The 27,168-nt window shown below is 38.5% G+C and overlaps 1 protein-coding gene and 2 pseudogenes across 1 annotated transcript in view; all 3 read left to right on the top strand.

The window, feature by feature from the left end:
• The window catches only part of F8 (coagulation factor VIII), a 186,932-nt gene that overhangs the window by 98,355 nt on the left and 61,409 nt on the right, over positions 1-27,168 (top strand). The window contains exons 15-21 of the mRNA NM_000132.4: positions 17,796-17,949; positions 19,346-19,558; positions 19,845-20,073; positions 20,281-20,463; positions 22,202-22,318; positions 22,927-22,998; positions 24,418-24,503. Coding sequence (NP_000123.1) covers positions 17,796-17,949; positions 19,346-19,558; positions 19,845-20,073; positions 20,281-20,463; positions 22,202-22,318; positions 22,927-22,998; positions 24,418-24,503 — 1,054 coding nt within the window. The remainder of the gene's footprint in view (positions 1-17,795; positions 17,950-19,345; positions 19,559-19,844; positions 20,074-20,280; positions 20,464-22,201; positions 22,319-22,926; positions 22,999-24,417; positions 24,504-27,168) is intronic.
• ZNF622P1 (ZNF622 pseudogene 1) lies at positions 4,187-4,936 on the top strand (annotated as a pseudogene).
• Positions 5,157-15,545, top strand: EEF1A1P31 (eukaryotic translation elongation factor 1 alpha 1 pseudogene 31; annotated as a pseudogene).

Raw genomic sequence — 27,168 nt, 5'->3', positions numbered from 1 at the left:
ATCAGCCTTTTGGTCAAAGCCATTCAACAAGTCTCTAGAGAGTTCCAAACTTTCCACATTTTCCTGTCGTCTTCTGAGCCCTCCAAACTGTTCCAACCTCTGCCTGTTACCCAGTTCCAAAGTCGCTTCCACATTTTTGGGTATCTTTTCAGCAGCACCCCACTCTACTGGTACCAACTTACTGTATTAGTCTGTTCTCACACTGCTGATAAAGATATACCTGAGACTGGGAAATTTACAAAGGAAAGAGGTTTTATGGACTTACTGTTCCACATGGCTGGGGAGGCCTCAAAATCATGGCAGAAGGCAAGGAGGAGCAAGTCTTGTCTTACATGGATGGCAGCAGGCAAAGAAAGAAAGCTTGTGCAGGAAAACTCTTTTTTTTCTTTTCTTCTTTTTAGACAGAGTCTTGCTCTGTCACGCAGGCTGGAGTCAGTGGCGTGATCTTGGCTCACTGCAACCTCCACCTCCCGGGTTCAAGTGATTCTCCTGCCTCAGCCTTCCAAGTAGCTGGTACTACAGGCATGTGCCACCACATGAGATGAGATTTTGGTAGGGACACAGCCAAACCATATCATTCCCCCTGTCCCCTCCCAAATCTCATGTCCTCACATTTCAAAACCAATCATGCCTTCCCAACAGTCCCCCAAAGTCATAACTCATTTCAGCATTAACTCAAAAGTCCACAGTATTTTTAGTAGAGATGGGGTTTCACCATATTGGCCAGACTGGTCTCTAACTCCTGACCTTATGATCCGCCCGCCTTGGCCTCCCAAAGCACTGGGATTACAGGTGTGAGCCACCATGCCCAGCCAAAAACTCTTCTTTTTAAAACCATCAGTTCTCATGAGACTTATTCACTATCACAAGAACAGCATAGGAAAGATCTGCCCCCATGATTCAATTACCTCCCACCAGGTCCCTCCCACAACACATGGGAATTCACGATGAGATTTGGGTGGGGATCCTCTTGGCTATCATTTCAAAAAATAGTCAGGGTTGATTATGGACTTAGTATTGAATAAGATGAAAATGTACTGAAATGGAACGATGAAGATAATTGACCAGGGAAAGCAGGTTACAAGCCAAGAGAGGATACAGTGTCACTTCAGATGCTATAAAAGTGATGTTTTTATTTTTTGAATGTTATTTGGCTATATTTTCAAATTATCTGCACTGCATATGCACTGCTTCTGTAATAATAAAAGGGTATTAAAATAATAAAATCAAGTCTATAAATCACACACACACACCCCAGCCTCTTCTCTACACCTCAGTGACTACCAACCACATCTAAATTATCATCATTTCTCATCTGAATTATTGCAAGAAGCCATTGCAATAATTCAGATGAGAGTTGATACAAAGCCTTCCTGTTTCCAACCTTACCCTCATATAGTCTTTTCCCAACATTGCATCTAAAGTAATTTTTCAAATTGCAATTCTGATCACTGTTCTCTGCTTCAGATCCTCCAGTGGATTTTCATCTCACTCAGTAAATTCCAAAGCCTTCACCATGGCCTTCAAGACCCTACGAAATTTGACCCTCTGCAACCTCTCTGCCTTCATCTGTTACCATTGTCTCCTGTTAATCCTGCCTCAGCCACACTGACCTCCTTGTTCTTCTCAAATGGACTAGATGTGTGCCTATCTCTAGACCATTACAGTTTCTGTTCTCTCTACTTAAAATTATGTCCCTGATACTCTAATGCAAGTTCTCTTACTTCCTTCAGGACGCTGCTCAAATTTCATTTTATCAGTGAGGCTTTCCCTGAACACTGTATGTAAATATTGCTCCCACCATTTTTTTTCAATGCACTTAACAGTGCCTGAAATATTATATATTTATTTCTTTATTGTCTATCTTCTCTGACTATAAGTTAAGCTCATTAAGAACACAAACTTTGGAGGTATTGTTCAATGTTGTGTCCCCAGAACTTTGAACAGTGCCTGGCACGTGGCAGATGTTCAAATAAATGTATGTTGAATGAATTAGAAAATGATAAATGTAGGGAGACAAAAGCAGGTCTCCCATTTATATCCAAACTCTAGGACTCTAGGAAAGACTGATTATATGGAATCGTGTCACACAGCATCCATGGGCAAGAGTGGAGGCAGAGATACCAGTTAAGATGCTATTGCAGTCATACAGATAAAAGAAGACAGTTATTTAGACCAGTGTGGTGGTGACAGAAATGGAAAGAAATGGAAGGATGTTGGGTATAATTAAAGATAAGCATATAAGACTGGCTGTTAATTGAGTATGGGAAGAATGAGGAGAGAGGATGTAAAGAACATTTCTTTTTGTTTGTTTGTTTTGTTTTGTTTTTGTTTCTTTTTATTATACTTTAAGTTCTAGGGTACGTGTGCACAACCTGCAGGTTTGTTACATATGTATACATGTGCCATGTTGGTGTGCTGCGCCCATTAACTCATCATTTACATTAGGTATATCTCCTAATGCTATCCCTCCCTCTTCCCCCCACCCCCCAACAGGCCCCGGTGTGTGATGTTCCCCTACCTGTGTCCAAGTGTTCTCATTGTTCAATTCCCACCTATGAGTGAGAACATACAGTGTTTGGTTTTTTGTCCTTGCGATAGTTTGCTGAGAATGATGGTTTCCAGCTTCATCCATGTCCCTACAAAGGACATGAACTCATCCTTTTTTAGGGCTGCATAGTATTCCATGGTGTATATGTGCCACATTTTCTTAATCCAGTCTATCATTGATGGACATTTGGGTTGGTTCCAAGTCTTTGCTATTGTGAATAGTGCCGCAATAAATATACGTGTGCATGTGTCTTTATAGCAGCATGATTTATAGTCCTTTGGGTATATACCCAGTAATGGGATGGCTGGGTCAAATGGCATTTCTAGTTCTAGATCCCTGAGGAATTGCCACACTGACTTCCACAATGGTTGAACTAGTTTACAGTCCCACCAACAGTGTAAAAGTGTTCCTATTTCTCCACATCCTCTCCAGCACGTGTTGTTTCCTGACTTTTTAATGATCGCCATTCTAACTGGTGTGAGATGGTATCTCACTGTGGTTTTGATTTGCATTTCTCTGATGGCCAGTGATGATGAGCATATTTTCATGTGTCTTTTGGCTGCATAAATGTCTTCTTTTGAGAAGTGTCTGTTCATATCCTTTGTATAAGATTATTAGTGGATTTCTCAGAAGAAATATTGTAGACCAGAAGGGAGTGAAAATATAGATTTAAAATCCTGAAAGGAAATAAAAACTAGCAATGAAAAATACTATATCCAGTAATTTTATCTTTCAGAAATGAAGGGGTGATAAAGATTTTCTCAGAAAGACAAAAGCTAGATCTGCTTTATAAGAAATGCTAGTAGGAGTTCTTCAAGCTGAAGAAAGAGGATGCTTATTAGTAATATGAAAACATATGAAAGGATAAAACTCACTAGTAAAAATAAGTACATTGTCAAATCCAAAACACTCTAGTAGTGTAATGGCAGTGGGTAAATTAATTATATCTTTAGTATAAAAGATAAAAGACAAAGAAAGCTATTTTAAAAACTAAAGCTATAATAATGTGTTAAGGAATGCAAATTATTAAAATATGTAAACTGTCACATCAAAAACATAAAATAGGCTGGGCACAGTGGCTCATGGCTGTAATCCCAACACTTTGTGGGGGCCAAGGTGGGAGGATCACTTGAGCCCAGGCATTTGAGACTAACTTGGGCAGGATAGTGAGATCTCATCTCTATAAAAAATTTAAAAATTAGTAAAGCATGGTGGTGCATGCCTGTAGTCCCAGCTACTCAGGAGGTGGAGGTGGGAGGACTGCTTGAGCCTGGGGGGGTCAAGGCTACAGTAAGCAATGATCACACCACTACACTCCAGCCTGGGCAACAGAGCAAGACCCTGTCTCAAAAAAAATAATAATATGTAGGAGGAAGGGAATAAAAGTGTAGAGTTTGTGGATGCAATAAAAATTAAGTTGTTATCAGTTTAAAATAGCCTGCTAATTTTGTGTAAGCCTCATAGTAACCACAGAGCAAAAGCCTATAGTAGATACACAAAACATTTTAAAAAGGTCCAAAGCATACCACTACAGAAAGCCATCAAACTATAAAGGAAGAATGCAACAGAAGAAGAAAGGATCAAAGGATCTAAAAAAAAAAAAAGAAAGAAAGCAATTAACAAAATGACACAAGTATGACCAAAGTCCACTGCTTCTTTATTACTGATATAGAATATCTTTCAGATCTTAAGGGACTGATTAATTACTTGGGAGAGAAAGTTTGTGTTGAGAAGATTTGCTTGTGTTGCAATGAGAAGGGGAAGTTCTACTCAACAGAAGCTGTACAGGCACATATGACAAAAGCTGGTGTAAGCTTTTTACAGATGGTGATGCTGCTTTGGAATTTGCAGACTTGTATGAGTTTAGGAGTAGCTACCCAGATCACAAGGAAGGGGAGGACCCTAATGAGGCTGAGGAGTCGCCCTTAGGAAAGGACTTAGAATATGATGATGAAAGCATGGAACTGATTCTGCCTTCTGATGCCAGAGTGGGTCATCACTCCTTGATGAGATACTACAAACAGTGATTTGGCTTGTCAAGAGCTGTGGTAGTTGCTAAATATTGTGAGGCCATGGGCCGAGTGCTTCAGTAATAGAGAGCCCTGGGATAGACTGGCAACACAGGAGCAGCTGTTACATGAAAGTGAGACATGCATTATATCCAAAGGATGAAGTCAAAATGGATGCTGAAGACAGAAATGAAGAACAATGCCACCAAGCAGATGCACTTTAGGGTCCAAGTGAGATTCTGAGAGTCTGCCAGGATTGAGTGATTGTCTGCTGCCCAAGTTTCCTCCTTGCCCTGAGGACCAGGGAAAGCCAGATTGTATGATGGACACTTTTGCTGCTACTTCACTTGCTCTAACATAATAATAAAAATGAAAATCTAAAAAATATTTTATTGAAGAATGAAGGTGAAAGAAATACATTTTCAGACAAGCATAAACAGAGAAACTTCACCATTAGCAAAAGTCCACTAAAATATTCTAATGTTATACTTGAGACAATAAAAAAGTGATACAGAATGGAAGGCATGAGAGACAAGATGGGATAAAGAGCAAACAAAGTTAAATATGTGGATAAATAGAGATAAGTATCATAAAACATGGTCAAATGTTTTATGAGCGTTAAGATATATAGAATTGCTTTATTCACAGTTGGTTTGCTGTCATAACACAAGTATCATGAAAATCACTGCTAAATCTAAGCCAAAATTGGGAAAGGAAAAGGTTCATGTCACTATCATCAACGTTGGACATGTAGACTCAGGAAAGTTCAACACTACTGGTCATCTGATCTATAAATGTGATGTGATCAACAAAGGAACCATTGAAAAATTTGAGAAAGAACCTGCTGAGATGGGAAAGGGCTCATTTGAGTATGCTTGGGTCTTGGATAACTATAAACTGAACATGAATGGAATATCACCATTGATATCTCCTAAAGAAACCTGAGGCCAAAAATATCCTGTGACCATCATTGATGCCCCAGCACACAGGGGCTTTATTAAAAAAAAAAAAAAAAAAAAAAACATGATTAGAGTGATATCACCAAAATGGTGGATAGAAGCAATCTGGCTTCACTCTCCTCCAGAAAAACCAAAAACAACTATTCAGTGTCTAGCTTATCACCAGGAATATCCCATAACTCAAAACAGAGGCTGTGAGGATCTGAGTGGCCACATAGAAGAGAAAAACTGCAAGCAGAAGATAACAAAAATGGGCCTGTTTAACTGCAGCATCCCCTTCCCAAGCTGCCAGGCACCATGCAGAAAAGTTCCCCCAGACTGACAGTATGTACATCAGAAAAAGTGACATCTAGATGAAGAGCCAGCTTTCCCACCATCTTGGGTTCCTTTGCAGAAAAATCATTCCTGCCTCAATCCGTGGGAAGCAGCCTGATTGCCTCTAGGGTAAAAAAATCCTGAGGGCAGCTAGAGACAAAGGATGGAGGCGGGGCTAGCAACCCCAGCATGCAAAACACATTGGCTGCTCTTCATCTAAGCCAAAGAAGACACCAAATGAGAGAGAATGTTCAGCCCGTGGTTCCTCTGGACACAAAATCCTAACCAGATGTCTCACCCAACCAGGATATCCAGTTTGGGACCTCCCCCAAATCGGGAATAGGCAGTAATCCAAGCCGTTGCAAGAGCTGCAGCAAATCTGGGCTTACAGCACCATCTAGTGCCAAAAAAGAGGCAGTAATCTCAGAGTAAGGAAGCTCTAATTCATACATAACCTTTAGACAGGCATACTCCTGAAAAACCAAACTAAGCCAGACACAAAGACTGGAATAAATAACTTAGCATTCATACAAAGACATAGATATATGTGCATAAAAAACAAGAGCAAATAGGGAGCTATGACCTCTCCAAATGGAAACAGCATGGAGCCAGTGACCAACCCTAATGAGATGGCAAATTGTAGCTCTCAAATCAATAATTCAAAATAAAAGTTCTGAGGAAACTCAAAGAACACAAAAAAGCAACTGAGAAATTTATGAGATAAATTTAACAGAGAAATCAAAATAATAATTTAAAAAACCAGAAATGCTGGAGCTGAGAAATACAACTGAACGGAAAAAAAAAATGCACTGGAAAGTCTAAACAGCGGAACTGATCAAGCAAAACGAACAATCAATGAGCTCAAAGACAGGCTATTTGAAAATACACAGTCAAAGGACAAAAAATAATTAAAAGGAATGAAGAACACTTGCAAGATCTAGAGGACTGCCTCAGTAGAACAAATCTAAGAGTCATGGGCCTTCAAGAGAGAAAGAGCAATGAATAAAAAGCTCAAAGAAATAACAGAAAATATTTCCAAACCTACAGAGAGATGTAAGTATCCAGTTATAGGAAGGCTGAAGATCACCAAACAGATTCAACCCAAATAAGACTACCCCAAGGCATACAATAATTAAACTCTCAAAGGTCAAAGACAAAGAGGGGATCCTAAAAAGAGCAAGAAAAAAGAAGCAAATAACATATAAAGGAGCTCCAGTTCATCCGGGAATATACTCTGGACCAGATGAACCTACCTGACATTTTACAGAACATTTTATCCAACTACTACAGAATATACATTCTTCTTATCAGCACATGGAACATTCTCCAGGATAGACTATATATTAGGCCAGAAAACAAGTCTCAACATTTAAAAAAATAAAATTATATTAAGTATCTTTTCTGACTACAGTAGAATAAAACTAGAAATCAATGACAAGAGGAACGTTTGAAACTATACAAATACATGGAAATTAAACAACATGCTCCTGAACAACCAATAAGTCAATGAAGAAATTAAGAAGGAAATTTATTGAAACAAATGAAAATGGAAACAACATACCAAAATGAATGGGATACAACAAAAGCGGTACTAAGAGAGAAGTTTATAGCTATAAATGCCTACATCAAAAAAGAAAGACTCAAATAAACCTGGTAATGATGTAACTCAAGGACATAGAAAAACAAGAGCAAACCAAACCCAAAATTAGTAGAAGGAAAATAATAATAATAATCATAGAAATAAATAATATTGAGAAAAAGAAAACAATATGAAAGACCAATGAAATTTTTAAAATGGCTTTTTGAAAGATAAAATTTAAAATCTTTAGCTAGACTAAGGAAAAAAAATGAGAGAAGACCCAAATAATTGAAATCAAAGATGAAAAGAGTCATTAAAACTGATAACACAAAAATACAAAGTTTCACTAGAAACTATTATGATCAACTATATGCCAACAAACTGGAAAAACTAGAAGAAATGGATAAATTTCTGGACACATACAACTTACCAAGATTGAACTATGAGGAAATAGAAAACTTGAGCAGACCAATAACTAGTAATGAGATTGAAGCAGTAGTAAAAAGTCTGGCATTAAATAAAAGTCCAGGACCTGATGACTTCACTGCTGAAGAAAAACTTACACCAATTATACTGAAACTATTTAATATTGCAAAAAATTGAAGAGAAAAGAATGTTTCCAAACTCATTCTACAAGACCAGCATTATCCCAATACCCAAACCAGACAAAGACACAACAACAGCAAAAAGAAAACTACAGGCCAACTTCGCTGATGAATATAGATGCAAAAATCCTCAACAAAGTACTAGCAAACTAAATTCAACAACACATTAAAATGAGTATTTGTCATGCCCAAGGGGGATTCATCCTAGGAACACAAAGATAGTTCAACATATGGAAATCAATAAATGTGATACACCACATTAACAGAAGGAAAGACAAAAACCATATATTTATTTCAATAAATGTCAAGAAAGCATTGAATAAAATTCAACATCCCTTCATGATAAAAACTCTCAACAAATTTGGTTTAAAGGAGCATACCTCAAAACAGTAAATGTTATATATGACAAGCCCACAGCTAACATTACACCAAATGGGAAAAAATTGAAAGCCTTTCCTCTAAGATCTGGAACAAGACAAGCATGCCCACTTTCATCAATTCTATTAAATGCAGTCCTGGAAGTCCAAGATGGAGCAATTAAGCAAAGGGCCTTCAAATTAGAAAAAAAGAAATCAAATTCCCCTTGTTTGTAGACGATATAATGTTATATTTAGAAAAACCTAAACACTCCACCAAAAAACTGTTAGAACTGATCAACAAATTCAGTAGAGTTGCAAGAAGCAAAACCAACATACAAAAATCAGTAGCATTTCTATATACCAAGAGCTAACAATCCGAGAGAGAAATCATAAAAGCATTTTCATTTTCAATAGCTATAATAAAAATAAATATCTAGGAACAAATTTAACCAAAGAGGTGAAAGATCTCTATACTGACAACTGTAAAACCCTGATGAAAGGAATTGAAGAAGACACACAAAAAATGAAAAGGTATCTATCCCATGTTCATAGAATGGAAGAATTCATATTGTTAAAATATCAATACTACTAGATTTCATGTATTACCTATCAAAATACCAATAACATTTTTCACAGAAATAGAAAAAGCAGTCTTAAAATTTGTACAGAACCACAAAAGACCCAGATATGGTTTGGCTGTGTCCCCACCCAAATCTCATCTTGAATTGTAGTTCCCATAATCCCCACATGTCGTGGGAGGGACCCAGTGGGAAGTGATTGGGTCATGGGGGCAGTTTTCCCCCATGCTGTTCTCGTGATAGTGAGTGAGTTCTCATGAAATCTGATGGTTTTCTAAGTGTTTGGCATTTCCCCTGCTGGCACTTATTCCCACTGCCACCTTGTGAAGAAGATGCCTTGCTTCCCCTACGCCTTCCACCATGATTGCAAGTTTCCTGAGACCTCCCCAGCAATGCGGAACTGTGAGTCAATTATACCTCTTTCCTTTATAGATTACCCAGTCTCCAGCAGTTCTTTATAGCAGTATGAGAACAGACTAATACAGTAAATTGGTACCGAGGTAGGGGGGGCACTGCTATAAGGATACCTGAAAATGTGGAAGCAACTTTGGAACTGTGTAACAGGCAGAGGATGGAACAGTTTGGAGGGCTCAGAAGAAGACAGGAAAATGTGGCAATGTTTGGAACTTCCTAGAGACCTGGAGGGCTCAGAAGAAGACAGGAAAATCTGGGAAAGTTTGGAACTTCCTAGAGAATCATTGAATAGCTTTCACCAAAATGCTGATAGTGATATGGACAATGAAGTTCAGACTGAGGTGGTATCAGATGGAGATGACGAACTTGTTAGGAATAGGAATAAAGGTGGCTCTTGCTATGCTTTAGCAAAGAGATTGGCAGCATTTTGCCCCTGCCCTAGAGATCTGTGGAACTTTGAACTTGAGAGAGATGATTTGGGGTATCTGGCAGAAGAAATTTCTAAGCAACAAAGCATTCCAGAGTGACAGAGCATAAAAGTTTGAAAAGTTTGCAGCCTGATGATGCAGTAGAAAAGACAAACCCATTTTCTGGGGAGAAATTCAACCCAGCTACAGAAATTTATATAATTAACAAGGAGCCAAATGTTAATCACCAAGATAATGGGGAAAATGTGTCCAGGGCATGTTAGAGACCTTCGCAGCAGCCCCTCCCATCACAGGCCTGGAGGCCTAGGAGGGAAAAATGCTTTCGTGGCCTGGGTCCAGGGCTCCCCTGCAGTGTTCAGCCTGGGACTTGGTGCCCTGTGTCCCAGCCACTCCAGCTATAAGAGGCCAAAGTACAGCTTGGGCTATAGCTTCAGAGGGTGCAAGCCCCCAGCCTTTGTTCTGTGGGTGCACAGAAGACAAAAATTGAGGTTTGGGAATGTCCACCTAGATTTCAGAGGATGTATGGAAATGCCTGGATGTCCAGGCGGAGGTGTGCTGCAGAGGCAGAGCCCTCGTGGAGAACCTCTGCTAGGGCAGTGAGGAAAAGAAATGTGGGGTGGGAGCCCCCACACAGTCACCACTGGGGCACTGCCTAGTGGAGCTGTGAGAAGAGGGCCACTGTCCTCCAGACCCCAGAATGGTAGATCCACTGAGAGCTTGCACCGTGGGCCTGGAAAAGCCACAGGCACTCAATGCCAGCCCATGAAAGCAGCCAGGAGCAGGGCTGTACCCTGCAAAGCTATGGGGGTGGAGCTTCCCAAGGCTGTGGGAGCCTGCCTTTTGTATCAGGGTGACCTAAATGTGAGACACGGAGTCAAAGGAGAACATTTTGGAACTTTCAGGTTTAATGACTGCCCTATTGGATTTCAGACTTGCATGGGGCCTGTAGCCCCTTTGTTTTGGCCAATTTCTCCCATTTGGAATGAGTGTATTTACCCAATGCCTGTACCCCTATTGTATCTAGGAAGGAACTAACTTGCTTTTGATTTTACAGGCTCATAAACAGAAGGGATTTTCCTTGTCTCAGATGAGACTTTGGACTTGGACTTTTGGGTTAAGGCTGGAATGAGCTAACACTTTGGGGGACTGTTGGAAAGGCATGATTCTGTTTTTAAATGTGAGGACATGAGATTTGGGAGGGGCCATGGGTGGAAACATATGGTTTGGCTCTGTGTCCCCACCCAAATCTCATCTTGAATTGTAGTATATTGTTTGTAAAAATTCCTGCCTATCCAGAGATTTTTTAAAAAAAAACAATACTTTCTTCAATTTTCTCTTACAATTTAATTTTTTACATTTAACTTTTTAATACTTCCTGTAGACTAAAAGTTATTTTGGTGCATTGTGTGAACCAAAGATCAAAGTAGTTTTATTTTTTTCTGAAAACATCTATTCATTTTTTCAATTAATTGATTGTTTATATTAAGGATCTAGGAGGATCTAAAATTATGGAATTGTGGGCAAGGGCAATTTTTGCCTTACATTTCATGTAAGGCAAAATAATCCCCATGTGTCATGGGAGGGACCCAGTAGGAAGTGATTGGATCATGGGGGCAGGTTCCCCCATGCTGTTCTCATGACAGTGAGTAAGTTTTCATGAGATCTGATGGTTTTATAAGCATCTGGCATTTCCCCTTCTGTCACCTCTCCCTCCTGCCACCTTGTGAAAAAGGTGCCTTGCTTCCCCTTCACCTTCCACCATGATTGTAAGTTTCCTGAGGCCTCTCCAGCCATGTGGAACTGTAAGTCAATTAAACCTCTTTCCTTTATAAATTATGCAGTCTCAGGCAGTTCTTTATACCAGCAGGAAAACAGACTAATACAGACCCTAAATATCCAAAGCAGTCCTGAGCAAAGAGAACAAAGCTGGAGGCATGATGCTACTTTATTTCAAACTATACTACAAAGCTGTAGTAACCAAAACAGCATGGTACTGGCATAAAGACAGAAACATATGCCAGTGGAACACAACAGAGAACCCAGAAATGAATCCACACATTTAGAGCCAACTCATTTTTGACAAAGTGCCAAGAATATGCATTGGTGAAAGAATAGTCTCTTCAATAAATGATGTTGGGAAAACTGGATATCCACATGCAGAAGAATTAAACTAAACCCCTATCTCTCACTGTATACAAAAATTAAATCAAAATGGATTAGAGACTTAAATATACAACCTGAAAGTATGAAGCTACTGGAAGAAAACATTGGGGAAATGCTCCAGGACATTGGTCTGGGAAATATTTTATGGCCTGGGAAATATCAAAAGCACAGACAACTAAAGCAAAAGTAGACAAACGGGATTATATCAAGCTATAAAGCTTCCGCACAACAAAGGAATCAATTAACAAAGTGAAGGGACAACCTACAGGATGGGATGAAATATTTGCAAACTATACAACTGAGAGGGTATTAATAACCAGAATATATAAGGAACTCAAACAAGTCAATGGCAAAAAAGCAAAGGATCCTATTAAAAATGAACAAAGATCTGAATAAACATTTCTCAAAAGAAAACATACAAATGGCCAACAGGTATATGAAAAACTGCTCAACATCACTAATTACCAGATAAATGCAAACCAAAAGCACAATGGATATTTCACTCCAGTTAAATGACTTTTATCAAAAAGACAAAAAATAATGAATGCTGATGAGGATGTGGCAAAAGGGGAATGCTTGTACACTATTGGTGGGAGTGTGAATTAGTACAGATACTATGGAAAAGAGTATGTATGTTCCTCAAGAAACTAAAAATAGAACGACCATGTGATCCAGCAATCCCACTGCTGGATATATATCCAAAGACAGGAAATCAGTGTATCAAAGAGATAGTTGCACACCAACATTTATTACAGCACCATTCACAATAGCTAGGATATAAAATCAACCTAAGTATACATCAACAGATGAATGGATAAAGACTGTGTGGTATATATACACAATAGACTATTACTCAGCCATTAAAAAGAATGAAATCCTGTCATTTGTGGCAACATCGATGAGCCTGGATGTCACTGTGTTAAGTGAAATAAGCCAGGCATAGAAAGACAAATATCACGTTTTCACTTACATGTGAGAGCTTAAAAAGTGGATCTCACGGAGATAGAGAGTAGAATGGTGCTTAAAGGAGTTTGGGAATGGTATGGGGGGGTGGGATGGAATGAAGAGAGGTTGATTAATAGGTGTAAAATGAAGGGGTGGCCTGCCCCTCGTCACCCACAGTGACGAGAAACACTGTGGGTGTTTCTCGTCAGGTGGGACGAGAGACTGAGAAAAGAAATAAGACACAGAGACAAAGCACAGGAAAGAAAAGTGGGCCCAGGGGACCGGCGCTCAGCATACGGAGGACCCGCGCCGGCACTGGTCTCTCAGTTCCCTCAGTATTTATTGATCATTATCTCTACCATCTCGGAGAGGGGGATGTGGCAGAACAATAGGGTAATAGTGGAGAGAGGGTCAGCAGGAAAACATGTGAACAAAGGTCTCTGTGTCATAAATAAGTTTAAGGAAATGTGCTGTGCCCTGATGTGCACGTATACAAACATCTTGGTGCATTAAAGAGCAGTATTGCCACTAGCCTGTCTCACCTCCAGCCTTAAGGCGGTTTTCTCTTTTCTCAGTAAATAGAACATACAATCGGGTTTTACACCGAGACACTCCATTGCCCAGGGACGAGCAGGAGACAGATGCCTTCCTCTTATCTCAACTGCAAAGAGGACTTCCTCTTTCACTAATCCTCCTCAGCACAGACCCTTTACGGGTGTCGGGCTGGGGGACGGTCAGGTCTTTCCCTTCCCACGAGGCCATATCTCAGGCTATCACATGGGGAGAAACCTTGGACAATACCTGGCTTTCCAGGGCAGAGGTCCCTGCGGCCTTCCGCAGTGTATTGTGTCCCTGGGTACTTGAGATTAGAGAATGGTGATGACTTTTTTTATTATTATTATTATACTTTAAGTTCTAGGGTACATGTGCACAACGTGCAGGTTTGTTACACGTGTATACATGCACCATGTTGGTGTGCTGCACCCACTAACTCGTCATTTACATTAGGTATATCTCCCAATGCTATCCCTCCCCCCACCCCATGACAGGCCCCGGTGTGTGATGTTCCCCCTCCTGTGTCCAAGTGTTCTCATTGTTCAATTCCCACCTATGACTAAGAACATGCGGTGTTTGGTTTTTTGTCCTTGTGATAGTTTGCTGAGAATGATGGTTTCCAGATTCATCCATGTCCCTGCAAAGGACATGAACTCATCCTTTTTTATGGCTGCATAGTATTCCATGGACAAGCATACTGCCTTCAAGCACTTTTTTAACAAAGCACATCCTGCATAGCCCTAAATCCATTAAACCTTGACTCAACACCGCACATGTCTCTGCGAGCACAGGGTTGGGGCTAGGGTTACAGATTAACAGCATCTCAAGGCAGAAGAATTTTTCTTAGTACAGACCAAAATGGAGTCTCTTATGTCTACTTCTTTCTACATAGACACAGTAACAGTCTGATCTCTCTTTCTTTTCCCCACAGTAAAATTACACTTAAATAGAAGGGATAAGTTGTAGTGTTCGATATTACAGTAGGGTGACTATAGTTAACAATGATTTATTGTATGTTTCAAAATAGCTAGAAGAGAAGACTGGGAATGTTCCCAACACAAATAAATGACAAATGGTTGAAGTGATTGATATTCCAATTACCATCATTTGATTATTACACATTGTATTCATGTATCAAAATATCACATGTATCCCCAAAACATGTACAATTATCGTGTATCAATTTAAAAATACATCATGATAGGCACCTCTCAGGTTGACTGTACTGTCCTGATTATTGCTAGTGGTGTTAACAAATTTGAAGCTAGTATCTTTAAGAACGGGCAGACCCATGAGCATGCCCTTCTGGTTTACACACTGGAAGTGAAACAACTAATTGTTGGTGTTAAAAAATGGATTTCACTGAACTATGCCATCGCCAACAGAGCTATGTGGAAATCAATAAGGAAGTCAGCCCTACATTAAGAATACTGGCTACAACCGCAACACAGTAGTATTTATGCCAATTTCTGGTTGGAATGCTGACAACTTGCTAACATGCCTTGGTTAAAGGGTGGAGAGTCACCTGCAGAGATGGCAATACCAGTGTAGCACACCGCTTGAAGCTCTGGATTATATCATACCACCAGCTCATCCAACTGACAAGGCTTGTGCCTACCTCTCCAGGAAGTCTACAAAATTGGTAGTATTGGTAATGTCTTTGTGGGCCTAGTGGTGACTGGTGCCCTCAAACCCAGCATGATTGGTCAGCTTTGCTCCAGTTAACATTACAACTGAAATAAAGTCTTTTGAATTGCACCATGAAGCTTTAAATGAAGCTCTTCTTGGGGACAATGTGGGCTTCAGTGTCAAGAATGTGTCTGTCAAAGATGTTTATCATGGCAATATGGCTTGTGACAGCGAAAATGACTCGCCAACGGAAGCAGCTGGCTTCCTGAACCATCCAGCCCAAATCAGTGCTGGCTCTCCACCTCTGTTGGATTGTCACACAGCTCACATTGCTTGCAGGTTTGCTGAGCTGAAGGTGGTTGATTTCCTTCTGGTTAGAAGCTGGAAGATGACCCCCATTGTGATTTTTATTGCTATGGTTTCTTTCTAATTTAGTCTTGAGGTCTCTCCCTTGAGAATGGTCATAAGCCAAGAGAGCCACTTTCTAGGAGAGTCCTGACCAGGGGGAAAGTTAAGTTTGAGTGTGTCAGCTTGGTGAGACACAATGAGGAAGTAAAAACAAAATAAATAGTGGAATAGAATACTAACAAGTACCTAGAAATAAGTCTAGCTAAAAATTTGCAAAATGTCTATGGAAAAAAAAACTATGGAAATTTACTGAGAAACTTTAAAGAGTACCTAAATAACTTTCAAGATATACCACGTACATGAATTGGAAAACATGATATTTGAAAATGTCGGTTATTCCCAAACTGATTTATAGATTCAGTGCAACCTGAATGAAAATCCCAAGACGTTCCTTTTGTAGAGCTCAACAAGCTGATTCTAAAATTAATATGAAAATGTAAAGGTTTATGAATAGCCAAGTCCTTCTTGAAGAGGAAGAATAAGATGAGAGTAATTGCTGTCTAATATATTGAGACTTATTTTAAAGCTATAATAATTAAAACAATGTAGCAGTTGGTATAGGGATAATCAAACAGGTAAATGAAATAGAATAGAAAATCCAAAACTAGTCTAACACATATAGAAACTTGATTTATGACAAAGGTGTCACAGAAGTAGAGTTTCAATAAAATGCTGGAAAATGTTGGTATCTATATAGATAAAACATTACATTGGATTCCTAACTCACACCATACACAAAAATCCATTCACATTGCATTACAAGTCTAAAAGTGAAATATAAAATCATAAACATTTTAGAAAGAAAATGTAAAAGAATATATCAATAACCACAGGGTAGGGAAAGAAAGAGAATTGACATCAAGATACAAAAAGCCCTAGCCAATAAGGTTTTTTTTTATAAATTCCACACATTAAAATTACAAACTTATGCTCATCAAAAGATAACATAAAAACAATGAAAAGATTAGCCACGGAATGGTAAATGTTTGCAATACATAACACAAAGGACACACAAAGGAAACTTATATAATAGATTTTAACAGGCTTCTCTGTGTCCTTCTTCTCCAGCAATCAAGGAATATATAAAAAAGCATATCAAGGATATATAGGGTACTCTTTTGATTCAACAAGAAAAAAGCAGATTATCCAAGAGAAAACTTGGCAGAAAAAAGCTTGGATAGGTGCTCCACAAAAGAGGACATCCAAATGACTGCTACTCATAAGAAAAGATGCTCAACCTCATAGAACATCCAAAAATGTAAAAACACAGTCAATACCAGATATTTGTAATAATTTGGAGCAAATGGAACTCTCATACATTGCTAATGAAAATGGAAAATGGTCCAGCTGCTTTGGAAAACAGTGTGGCAATACCTACCAAAGCCAAACACATGCATACCTAGTAATTCCGCCCAACAGAAATGCACATATATGTTCACCAAAAGATATGCACCAGAAGGTTATAGCAGGTCCATATGAAAGTGCCAAAGATTATAACAACTCAAATGTCCGTGATTAGGGTATATTCATATAATACTATACAACAATGGGAATGAACAAACTATAGCTACATATGATAATATAGATGAATCTCACAACCAGAATGCTAAGTGAAAGAAGAAACAAAAGAATATATGTAGTATGTTTTATTTACACACTTCAAAACAGGCAAAACTAAACTATATTTTTAAAGGATGTATACGTAACTGGTAAAATTATAAAGAAAAGCAAAGAAATGATTATCATAAAGATCAGAATGGTGGTTACCTTCAGTGGGAAGGGAGAAAGTATGATTGAAAAGGGACATCCAGTGAGTCTTGTGGGTTGTTGGCAATGTTACTGATCTGGGTGATGATTGCATTTATGTACCAAAGGCATTTGTGTTTTATGCACTTTATTGTATATGTTTTAGTTCACAATTTTTTTAGTTCACAATTTTAATAGGGCTTTAAAAAGTAAAAAGAAAAGAGATCCAAGGGCTTGACCATGGGACTCTCTTATATTTGGAGTATGTTTATAAACTTTACATTCATTCAACATTCGACAAATATTTTTTGAGCACCTACTTTGTGCCAAGCACCGTTACAGGTGCTGGGAATACAACAGGGAACAAAACAGACAAAACCCCAGCTTTCATGGAACTTACATGCTAATAAAGCTTGGCAAGAGTATTTCAAGGAAGATGAAGTGGTTAACTATGCAAAATGCTTCTCAGGCACCTAGGAAAATGAGGATGTGAGGCATTTCTACCCACTTGGTACATAAAATTATTGCTTTTCCTCTGCTTTTTTTCTCCAGGGCTCAGAGTGGCAGTGTCCCTCAGTTCAAGAAAGTTGTTTTCCAGGAATTTACTGATGGCTCCTTTACTCAGCCCTTATACCGTGGAGAACTAAATGAACATTTGGGACTCCTGGGGCCATATATAAGAGCAGAAGTTGAAGATAATATCATGGTGAGTTAAGGACAGTGGAATTACAAGAAAATTAATTTTATATATTTATTTTCTTGCTGACTATAATGTATTCCCACTTTTGGAAATTTTTAAAGTATAGAAAAATAATTCCATAATTATCTTTGTGTACGTTCTATTTTTCCTATGTATTTTTCTCCTTATGTATTCAAATTATACCATGCAGAATTCTGATTCTTGTTTTTTTACTAAATATCACATCATAAACATTTCTTACGTCATTAAAAACACTTCCTATGTATGTTTTTAAAATACTGCATAATAGTCTATTATATGAATTTATGGAACCATAGTTTATGTAACCATTTATTTTGAACAAGCTTTTAGACAGTTTCTTTTTTCACTATATAAATAACGCTGTAATCACAACAGTTTTTCTAAGATAAAATTCCAGAAGTGCAATGTATTTGAGCATCTTAAGAGTTTTTCTTATTAATTATTTGGTAATGTCCCTTGCACATTTGTCTTTCATGGAGGAAGTGCTTTTCTTATTGATTATGTTACCTTATATATTAGATAGTAAACCACTGAACATTTTAATGAGAGGTACTTTTTCAAGTTTTTGTTTTCTCTTAATTTTATAAATGATGGTTTTTGAAATAAAACAGGTTTTAATTTTTAGGTAGTAACCCATCAATCTTTACTTTTTGACACTTTCATTGCTTTTATGTTTATAAAAATTCCTGCCTATCCAGAGATTTTTTAAAAAACACCTATACTTTCCTCAGTTTTTCTCTTACAGTTTAATTTTTTACATTTAACTTTTTAATACTTCCTGTAGACTAAAAGTTATTTTGGTGCATTGTGTGAACCAAAGATCAAAGTAGTTTTATTTTTTTCTGAAAATATCTATTCGTTGTTTCAATTAATTGATGGTGTATATTAAGGATGTAGAAGGATCTAAAATTATGGAATTGTGGGCAATTTTTGCCTTACATTTTATTTTACTTTCCATTATATTCTATGATAAATATGTATAATTTTTAATCTGGAAAGTAAGCCTTTTTTAAAAGATAATATGCATTCATTCTAGAATTTGTCATGAAGAACCTTAACTTACATATCAACTCCTGGCGTTATGGTCTCTTATAACCCCTGCAGTAACATTTTCCCTTTTACTCTGGAATGGCTTTTATGTGTTTAGGAATTTTCTCCTTTGCAACTTTGAGTTCATACCTTAAATTTAGAATACAAAACCTCCTCAGGATTAGGTTTGAGTTCTAACAGCATCCATCTTCTGTACCACTTCTTCCAGGGTATTAAAAACTTTGATAAAGACCAAAAGACAGGTATTTCTTTTAGGGATGTAAACCCTAAGGACCTTAAGATCCTAGAAGATTATTCTTGCTTTTTTTTTTTTGTCGTTATTGTTCTACAGGTAACTTTCAGAAATCAGGCCTCTCGTCCCTATTCCTTCTATTCTAGCCTTATTTCTTATGAGGAAGATCAGAGGCAAGGAGCAGAACCTAGAAAAAACTTTGTCAAGCCTAATGAAACCAAAACTTACTTTTGGAAAGTGCAACATCATATGGCACCCACTAAAGATGAGTTTGACTGCAAAGCCTGGGCTTATTTCTCTGATGTTGACCTGGTAAGCAGGTGTCTATTGTGCTGACCACTTTTTGGTTTAAAAGAAATGGTCTTTGTGTACTAAGAATTTTGATATTTATCCTACGTGCAATAAGAAGCTTTAAATAGGAGAGTTGATCATTATATTTGTGTTTTAGAAATGTCATTCTGGAATCTACTGAAGAGGATGGATTATATTTTTGGAAGGTGGGAGGCAGGTTGGACTGGCATAAAAATTGATGAGAAATCCACTCTGGTTCATAGGTGAGAGAGCTTATACTCATAGGATTGATGTCTTCCCTCCCTAGGAAAAAGATGTGCACTCAGGCCTGATTGGACCCCTTCTGGTCTGCCACACTAACACACTGAACCCTGCTCATGGGAGACAAGTGACAGTACAGGAATTTGCTCTGTTTTTCACCATCTTTGATGAGACCAAAAGCTGGTACTTCACTGAAAATATGGAAAGAAACTGCAGGGCTCCCTGCAATATCCAGATGGAAGATCCCACTTTTAAAGAGAATTATCGCTTCCATGGTAATATATTCCACATCCAAACATTATCACTGTGAAATGCAGATTGCACTTTGACAAATGAGACTTGATCCAGGGACTTGAACATTGTATTTATTTAGAGTATATCTGTGGGAGTGGAATCCTCATAGATGTCAGTTTTTTTGGTGGAGTGGAGAGAAAGAAACTTATATAATAGATTTTAACAGGCTTCTCTGTGTCCTTCTCCAGCAATCAATGGCTACATAATGGATACACTACCTGGCTTAGTAATGGCTCAGGATCAAAGGATTCGATGGTATCTGCTCAGCATGGGCAGCAATGAAAACATCCATTCTATTCATTTCAGTGGACATGTGTTCACTGTACGAAAAAAAGAGGAGTATAAAATGGCACTGTACAATCTCTATCCAGGTATGAGCTTGTTTGTGCTCTTTCTTCTACCTACTCTATTTGTTGAGTACTTACTTTAAATGGTCTAGGCACTGGGAACACAATCAGTGATCAAAGCAGACAAGCTCCATGCTCTTAAGTAATACTTTTTCAAATGCTTTTTAAACCATTTGTTCAAAGCAAATGAACAAGATAATTTCAGATATAGAAAAATTGCTAAAAAGGAAATAGAACAGAATAAATGGATAATTAATGTCACAGTACTTTCCTAGGGAAAAGGAATTTATTCCTTTATCATTTACCATCTCAAATCCCATAGGGCACCAGTAGTCATCCAAAGAGTCATTTGTTTATGTATGTAACCAGTATATTGATTAAGCACTACTCATAATGTTGATCACAACACAATTTTATTTTGGTTCTTCACTGTCCCTTTAAAATAGATTTGGCCAGGTGCGATGGCTCACACTTGTAATCCCAGCACTTTGGGAGGCCAAGGTTGGAGGATTGCTTGAGGCCAGGAGTTCAAGACCAGCCTGGGTGACAAAGCAAGACCCCCATCTCTACAAAAAATAATTAGCCAGACATGTGGTATATACCTGTAGTCCCAGCTACTTCACCTACTTGGGTGGCTGAAGTGGAAGGATTGCTTGAGCCCAGGAGGTTGATGCTGCAGTGAGCTATGAAAGTGCCACTGCACTCAAACTTGGACAACAGAGCAAGACCCTGTCTCTAAAAAAAAAAAACCATCCAGTTTAATAGCGGGGGTAAACTTTCCTTATTTCTTCGTAAAAATTCTGATAAGCCCTGTAACTTTTCTGCTCACCCTTAAGTAATAAACAGGACTAAAGTCACTTTATGTCACAAATACAGTTCAAATCAGAAATTACAATGTCCATCCCAAGATATTAATCAAAATTGTAAACTTGATTTAACTTCAATCTCCCCTCCTCCAACTTGAGCCTGCATCAGGCTGGAAGTCTGCATTGGAAAAGGGAGACATGGTTGAGTCCTCTGTTTCTGTACCTTGTGATGATCGTGCTTCCCCACAACCCCTTTATAGCTGCTGTTTTGAACTCCAACATGGATAGGTTAAAGGTAAGGGGATAAGATAGTTCTTACCTATTTACAGCTGGCACCATTGTTGTAAACTAGCTTAACACTGTTTGTGCCTGGCAATACTTGTTGACTCTTTCTCCTGCAGGGCACTTTCAGGGAACTCTTTAGAGACTCCCTTACGTGACTGTCATGAAATCCCCTTGACATGATTTCTTCCACCTTTACTCTGGGTGGTCACTTGTGACTCATTTCTCAGCCCTCAGTGTTCACCTGCAGCTTCTTGTTGCTGGGGTAACTTTACCCTTGTAGGCAGCTCTAGTGGACTGGATCCAGAGGGAACTCACCCTGACTTATCTGTTTCACAGAGTCCACATCTGGCCAATGGGAAACACACCTTTTGCTCAGAAAGACCCTGGGAATGTAGGTCAATCATAATGCAGTAGCATTCTCCTGTCCCAACCATCAAAGAATTCAGTCACCCTGTTTCTCATCTCCTGGGGGGAGGGGAGTGGTCAGAACTCAATCTCCACAACCCCCAACTGTAAGGGTCACGTAGCAAGCACTTTGCATTTGAGGGGTCCAAAAGTAGTGGAACTACCAAATTTGGTAGGTCTACTCTGATATTTCGCATAAACCAATGTATCTCATGCTCATTTTTTAGTGAAAAGAAATAATTTCTGTTCCTGTTGGTTTTTATAAGGTGTTTTTGAGACAGTGGAAATGTTACCATCCAAAGCTGGAATTTGGCGGGTGGAATGCCTTATTGGCGAGCATCTACATGCTGGGATGAGCACACTTTTTCTGGTGTACAGCAATAGTGAGTAGCAATGTGGGCAGAGGTTCCCTACCTACTCAGCCTACTTCTTTACAGCTTTCTTCCTTTCTGGAATGGTTGCTTGTGTCAGGAAATAAATACAAGTTTACATCATTATCAAATTTAAAATGAATATTGCTGGTAGAAATCATCAGAGTTCTCAGAGTAGGGCAGATATACTTGAAGCTTTGAACACTTTGTACCTGAAGCTCTAAATAATTGACAAAAAAAAAATACCACCTCATTTTCACAACTTGGTAAAGCTCGAAGATCTCCAGTAGCAGATTTTGGAATTTAATGTTGATTTAGTTACCAGATAACTTAGAAATACTACTTGGAAGAGTTTGGAGATTTAACCCTAAACAAGTAAGAGAGCCACTGGTCTATTTATGTACGGACCCCAGTTTCTTCAGCTGTAAAATGTGAATCATTCTAGCACCTGTTAGGATTAATTAAATGAACTAATACAGTAAAACGTTGAGTACAGTTCTTGGCACATTTAAACACTAAAAAATAGCATTTGTTGACGTTCTCCCATTTTCATTGACTTACATTTGAGAAGCTGAATTTTGTGCACTTCTAGTTACTGTGTTCCACCCGTTTCATTTCAGAGTGTCAGACTCCCCTGGGAATGGCTTCTGGACACATTAGAGATTTTCAGATTACAGCTTCAGGACAATATGGTAAATACTATTATTTTTGCTCCAAGAACCTGGGCTGATTATATCTTTTTTTAATAATCTGGTGGAGAATCTCAGATAATGAATCCATCTCCATGCTTCTATTAGTTCTATTCCATAAGTGCCTCTCAAATACATCTCCTCCTCTCCACTTCCCACTGTGGCCATCTTAACTCAGGTCACCATCATTTCTTACCTGGGCAATGACACTGCCTCCTTAAATATCCTCCCTACCTTCAGTATTTCTTCCTTGAGTCAATTCTTTTCAGTGCAGCAGGAAGCTATACTTTCCTATGAGCAGTAATGGTAAAGTTTGACTAGGGTCTATAGAGAATTCTCAGAAATTGTTTTAGAGCACTACTGCCCACAGGCTAAATGCAGCACACTGCCTGTTTTTGTATGGCATGTGAGCTATGAACAGATTTTCCATTTTTAAATAATTGTCAAAAAGATGAAGACTATTTCATGACATGTGAAATTATAAAATTCAAATTTCAGCATCCGTAATAAAGCCTTATTTTGGAACACAGCCACGTCCATTAATTTACATATCATCTATGGCTACAGCAGCAGTAACATAGTTGCAACAGAGACCATATAATATGCAAAGCCTAAATGATTTACTATCTGGCCCTTTACAGAAAAAGTTTGCCAACCTATGTTGTTGTGAGGTAAAAAAAAATCCTCTTGAAAAGGAGGCGTGAGAGTTTTACACCAAAATAGTAACATTTTTCACTAGGTGGAAGGGTTACATTTTAAAATGTCTTTTATTTGTATTTTTACTAATTTTTACTTTTCATTTTCTGATTTTTCTACAATGAACATACATTGCGTAATAAATAATAGGCGGGGCACGTTGGCTCATGCCTCCCAGCACTTTGCAAGGCTGAGGCAAGCAGATCACCTGAGGTCAGGAGTTCAAGACCAGCCTGGCCAACATGGTGAAACTCCGTCTCTACTAAAAATACAAAAATTAGTCGGGCATGGTGGTACGCGATTGTAGTCCCAGCTACCTAGGAGACTGAGGCAGGAGAATTGCTTGAACTCAGGAGGTGGAGGTTGCAGTGAGCCAAGATCATGCCATTGCACTCCAGCCTGGGTGACAAAGCAAGACTCCATCTCAAAAAAAGAAAGAAAAGAAGAAATAATATTATTATTTGGTAGTGTTGGTAACAAATTGCAGTATCAGCTAGTTAGAGGTGCTAACAATTAACAAAATTATAAATTTTAGAAAATAAAATGGACAACAAGGATAAGCAATATCCTTAGATAGTAATTGATACTGGTATGCCATAAAGCCTTTATGTTTTTCTCTATTTTCACCACAGCTTAGATTAACCTTTCTCAAGACAATAATTTTATTCTCAAGTGTCTAGGACTAACCCAGCTGAATTTAATCTCTGTTTCTTTACTTGGGCAAAGGACAGTGGGCCCCAAAGCTGGCCAGACTTCATTATTCCGGATCAATCAATGCCTGGAGCACCAAGGAGCCCTTTTCTTGGATCAAGGTTAGAAAATGTAATCAATGATGGGAAATGTATCACATTCAATCAATTGCATTACTTATTCCTCTTGCAAGCTCAAAGGATTCTATGAATATGAGAAAACTAAAGAACAGAATGCCTTAATGATTTGTACAAAAGCAGTCATGAACAAAGAGATATGGGGATAGAATTGAGTATATTGATATGTCCTGTTTCTGTATTTTAGTCCTTCTACTGGGATTAGAACATCTGAATATTTTCTATAATATTGAACTCGTCATCTCTCAAGACAGTATATGTTATTATTAGATGCTTCCAACTGCCCACGTGTCCTTAAGTACTCCAATCCCCTTTATTTTAACATAAAACAAATGGTTCACAAATGCAAACCACATGTGTACTTTTACATTTTCTGTAGCCACGTTTTCAAAAATGTGAAATTCACTTTAATAATACATTTTATTTAACTCAACATATCTGAAAATACTATCATTTCAACATATGATCAATGAGGCCCCTTCAAAGACAGACAGATGGAAACTCTTGGGTCTCTTCCATGCCTCACAAAAGCTGAGGGCAGCTTGGAAGTGCCTGCTCAGCCTCTCCACCTAAACATAAGGCTAGATGCCTTCTAGAAGCCCAAACAGGAAATGGAGAAAACATTTTGGTTTCCATCTTTGCAAATAGCATGTCTATTAATGCCACAGCATTGTTTTGTAGACACTGCCAATTTTGACTCAATCTGAGCTGCTGTTCACTAATCCCTAAGTATTTTTTGTTGGTTTGTGCTTCTGCCAAACAACATGTTATGTTCTTCACCTTGTATTTCTATGGTTATTTTCAACCTTAAGTGTATCCCTATATAGAGAACATGTTTATCTATTTGGCCACCCTGTGTCTGTCTGTGCTATTTAATTTTTTGTAATAACATTCTTATTTGGGAGGGCGGAATTATATCTTCCTCACTAGATACAACCTGATAAGACTAGTAAATAGAGTGTCCTGTCTGTGCCTAGCCAATGAACCCTGAATGATATACTCTGTTGTTTCCACTTACTAGATTTGGCCCATTGTTTCAGCTTGCCGATCTTCAGTGTCCCAAAGTATTTCCTAGTTTTTCCAGTTACTGATTTGATCAGTAAACTTTCTAATACTGCAGCAAAGTCATGATCAAAATATTGAAGTAGACAAGACTTCCTTAGTATGTGCACAATACAAATCAAGCTGTTAAGTCCTTACTACAACCTTGTGAGGTAGATGTTACTATCATCTTCATTTCAGATAATGAAATTGAAGCATAGAGAGGTTATTGTGGCCCAAGTCACATGGCTAATAAGTGACTGAGCCAAAATTCAAATTCTGATAGTTGGGCTCCAGAACCCTAACTGGTAATCGTTGTACTACACTGTTTCCGGAATGCTCCCTTTAAGTTGATAACCATCTATTAACTGTCACTGTTCACTTGTGGTAATTAAACCAGTTACAAATCCACCTAGTTATGTTATCATCTACCACTATTGAATCGCCTTATCTTCAAGGTGGTTTTGCCATCTGTCCTACTAAGGTCCAGCTAGACTTTTTATAGATCTCGTAACTTTATAAAATAAACCATGGAGATGGAGTTGAAAGGGGGTGCTGACAAGGAAGGGAGTTGGAGAAGGCATCTATTCTCGTGAGAAGGCCTGAAGAGTGCACAACAGCCTGGCCCCAAGACACAAGAGCACTGGGCTGGCTTGAGGAGCACCAGGTGACCAAGACCAGGCAATGCACAGGGGGAAGTCAGCAGGCCCCATGGAGATACGCAGCTGCAGTGTTTGTACTTTTATACAGTGAAACTCATTACCACCTTGCTTACTTCCTAGTAGAGAGATGTGTCTTGTAGTTACACTGAAACACCTGGCTGGGCACATAGGTGAAGCTGTTGAGTCTGTAATTGTCAAACTGCTCCCAGGTGCCAATTATAATGTAGAAGAGGCACAAGAAGATGAAGTGGATAAGCCTGGCAGTTTGTCAAGCATTCATCAGTTGTCAAGCATTTGTCAGTTGCAGAATGTAGGTAGGCTGCCAAGGCTTTATTGTAGCCTGGTTCTATTGCAGCTTTATTCTAGCAAGGCTGCTGGAAAATACAATAATCACTGGTCCAAGAAAGAACTCTTATACTCTATCTATATGAAGAAACAGTAAAAGTCAATTCAGTAGAAATCATGATTTTTGTGCCTGGTGCTTTCACTTTTTTATGCCACAATACCAAGAGGTTAAAATGAAGTGTCTTTGATTGGGAATACCATCTATCTGGGAAAAGACAGGGCTGCAACTTCTGAAGACCTTGACACTCTGTCCTGTTACCCTGCTTCATTTTTCTCCTGCGCTTATCACTACTTGATGCTATAAACAAATAAAAACATATATGATATAAGGTCTATTTCTCCTACTCAACTGTAAGTTCCATGAGGGCAGGGCTTTCTTTCTTGTTTACTACTCTATTCCCTGTATCTAAAACAGTGCTTGGCACATAGCAAGTGCTAAAAAATATTCTTTGAATGAGTGTATGAATGGAACTTACAGTCAGCTGAAGGAGACAGTTATTAAGCATAAGAGTGATGACCAGTCCAATTGTGTGTGTCAGGCATGTGTGAAAACGTGCTAAATTTGACTTGCTTATTAGGACAGTAACTGATACTTCTAATGT

This window comes from Homo sapiens, chromosome X, assembly GCF_000001405.40.
Source record: "Homo sapiens chromosome X, GRCh38.p14 Primary Assembly".
NCBI lineage: Eukaryota > Metazoa > Chordata > Mammalia > Primates > Hominidae > Homo > Homo sapiens.
Note: the sequence above shows the minus strand (reverse complement) of the source record. Positions and strands in the feature narration are given on the sequence as shown.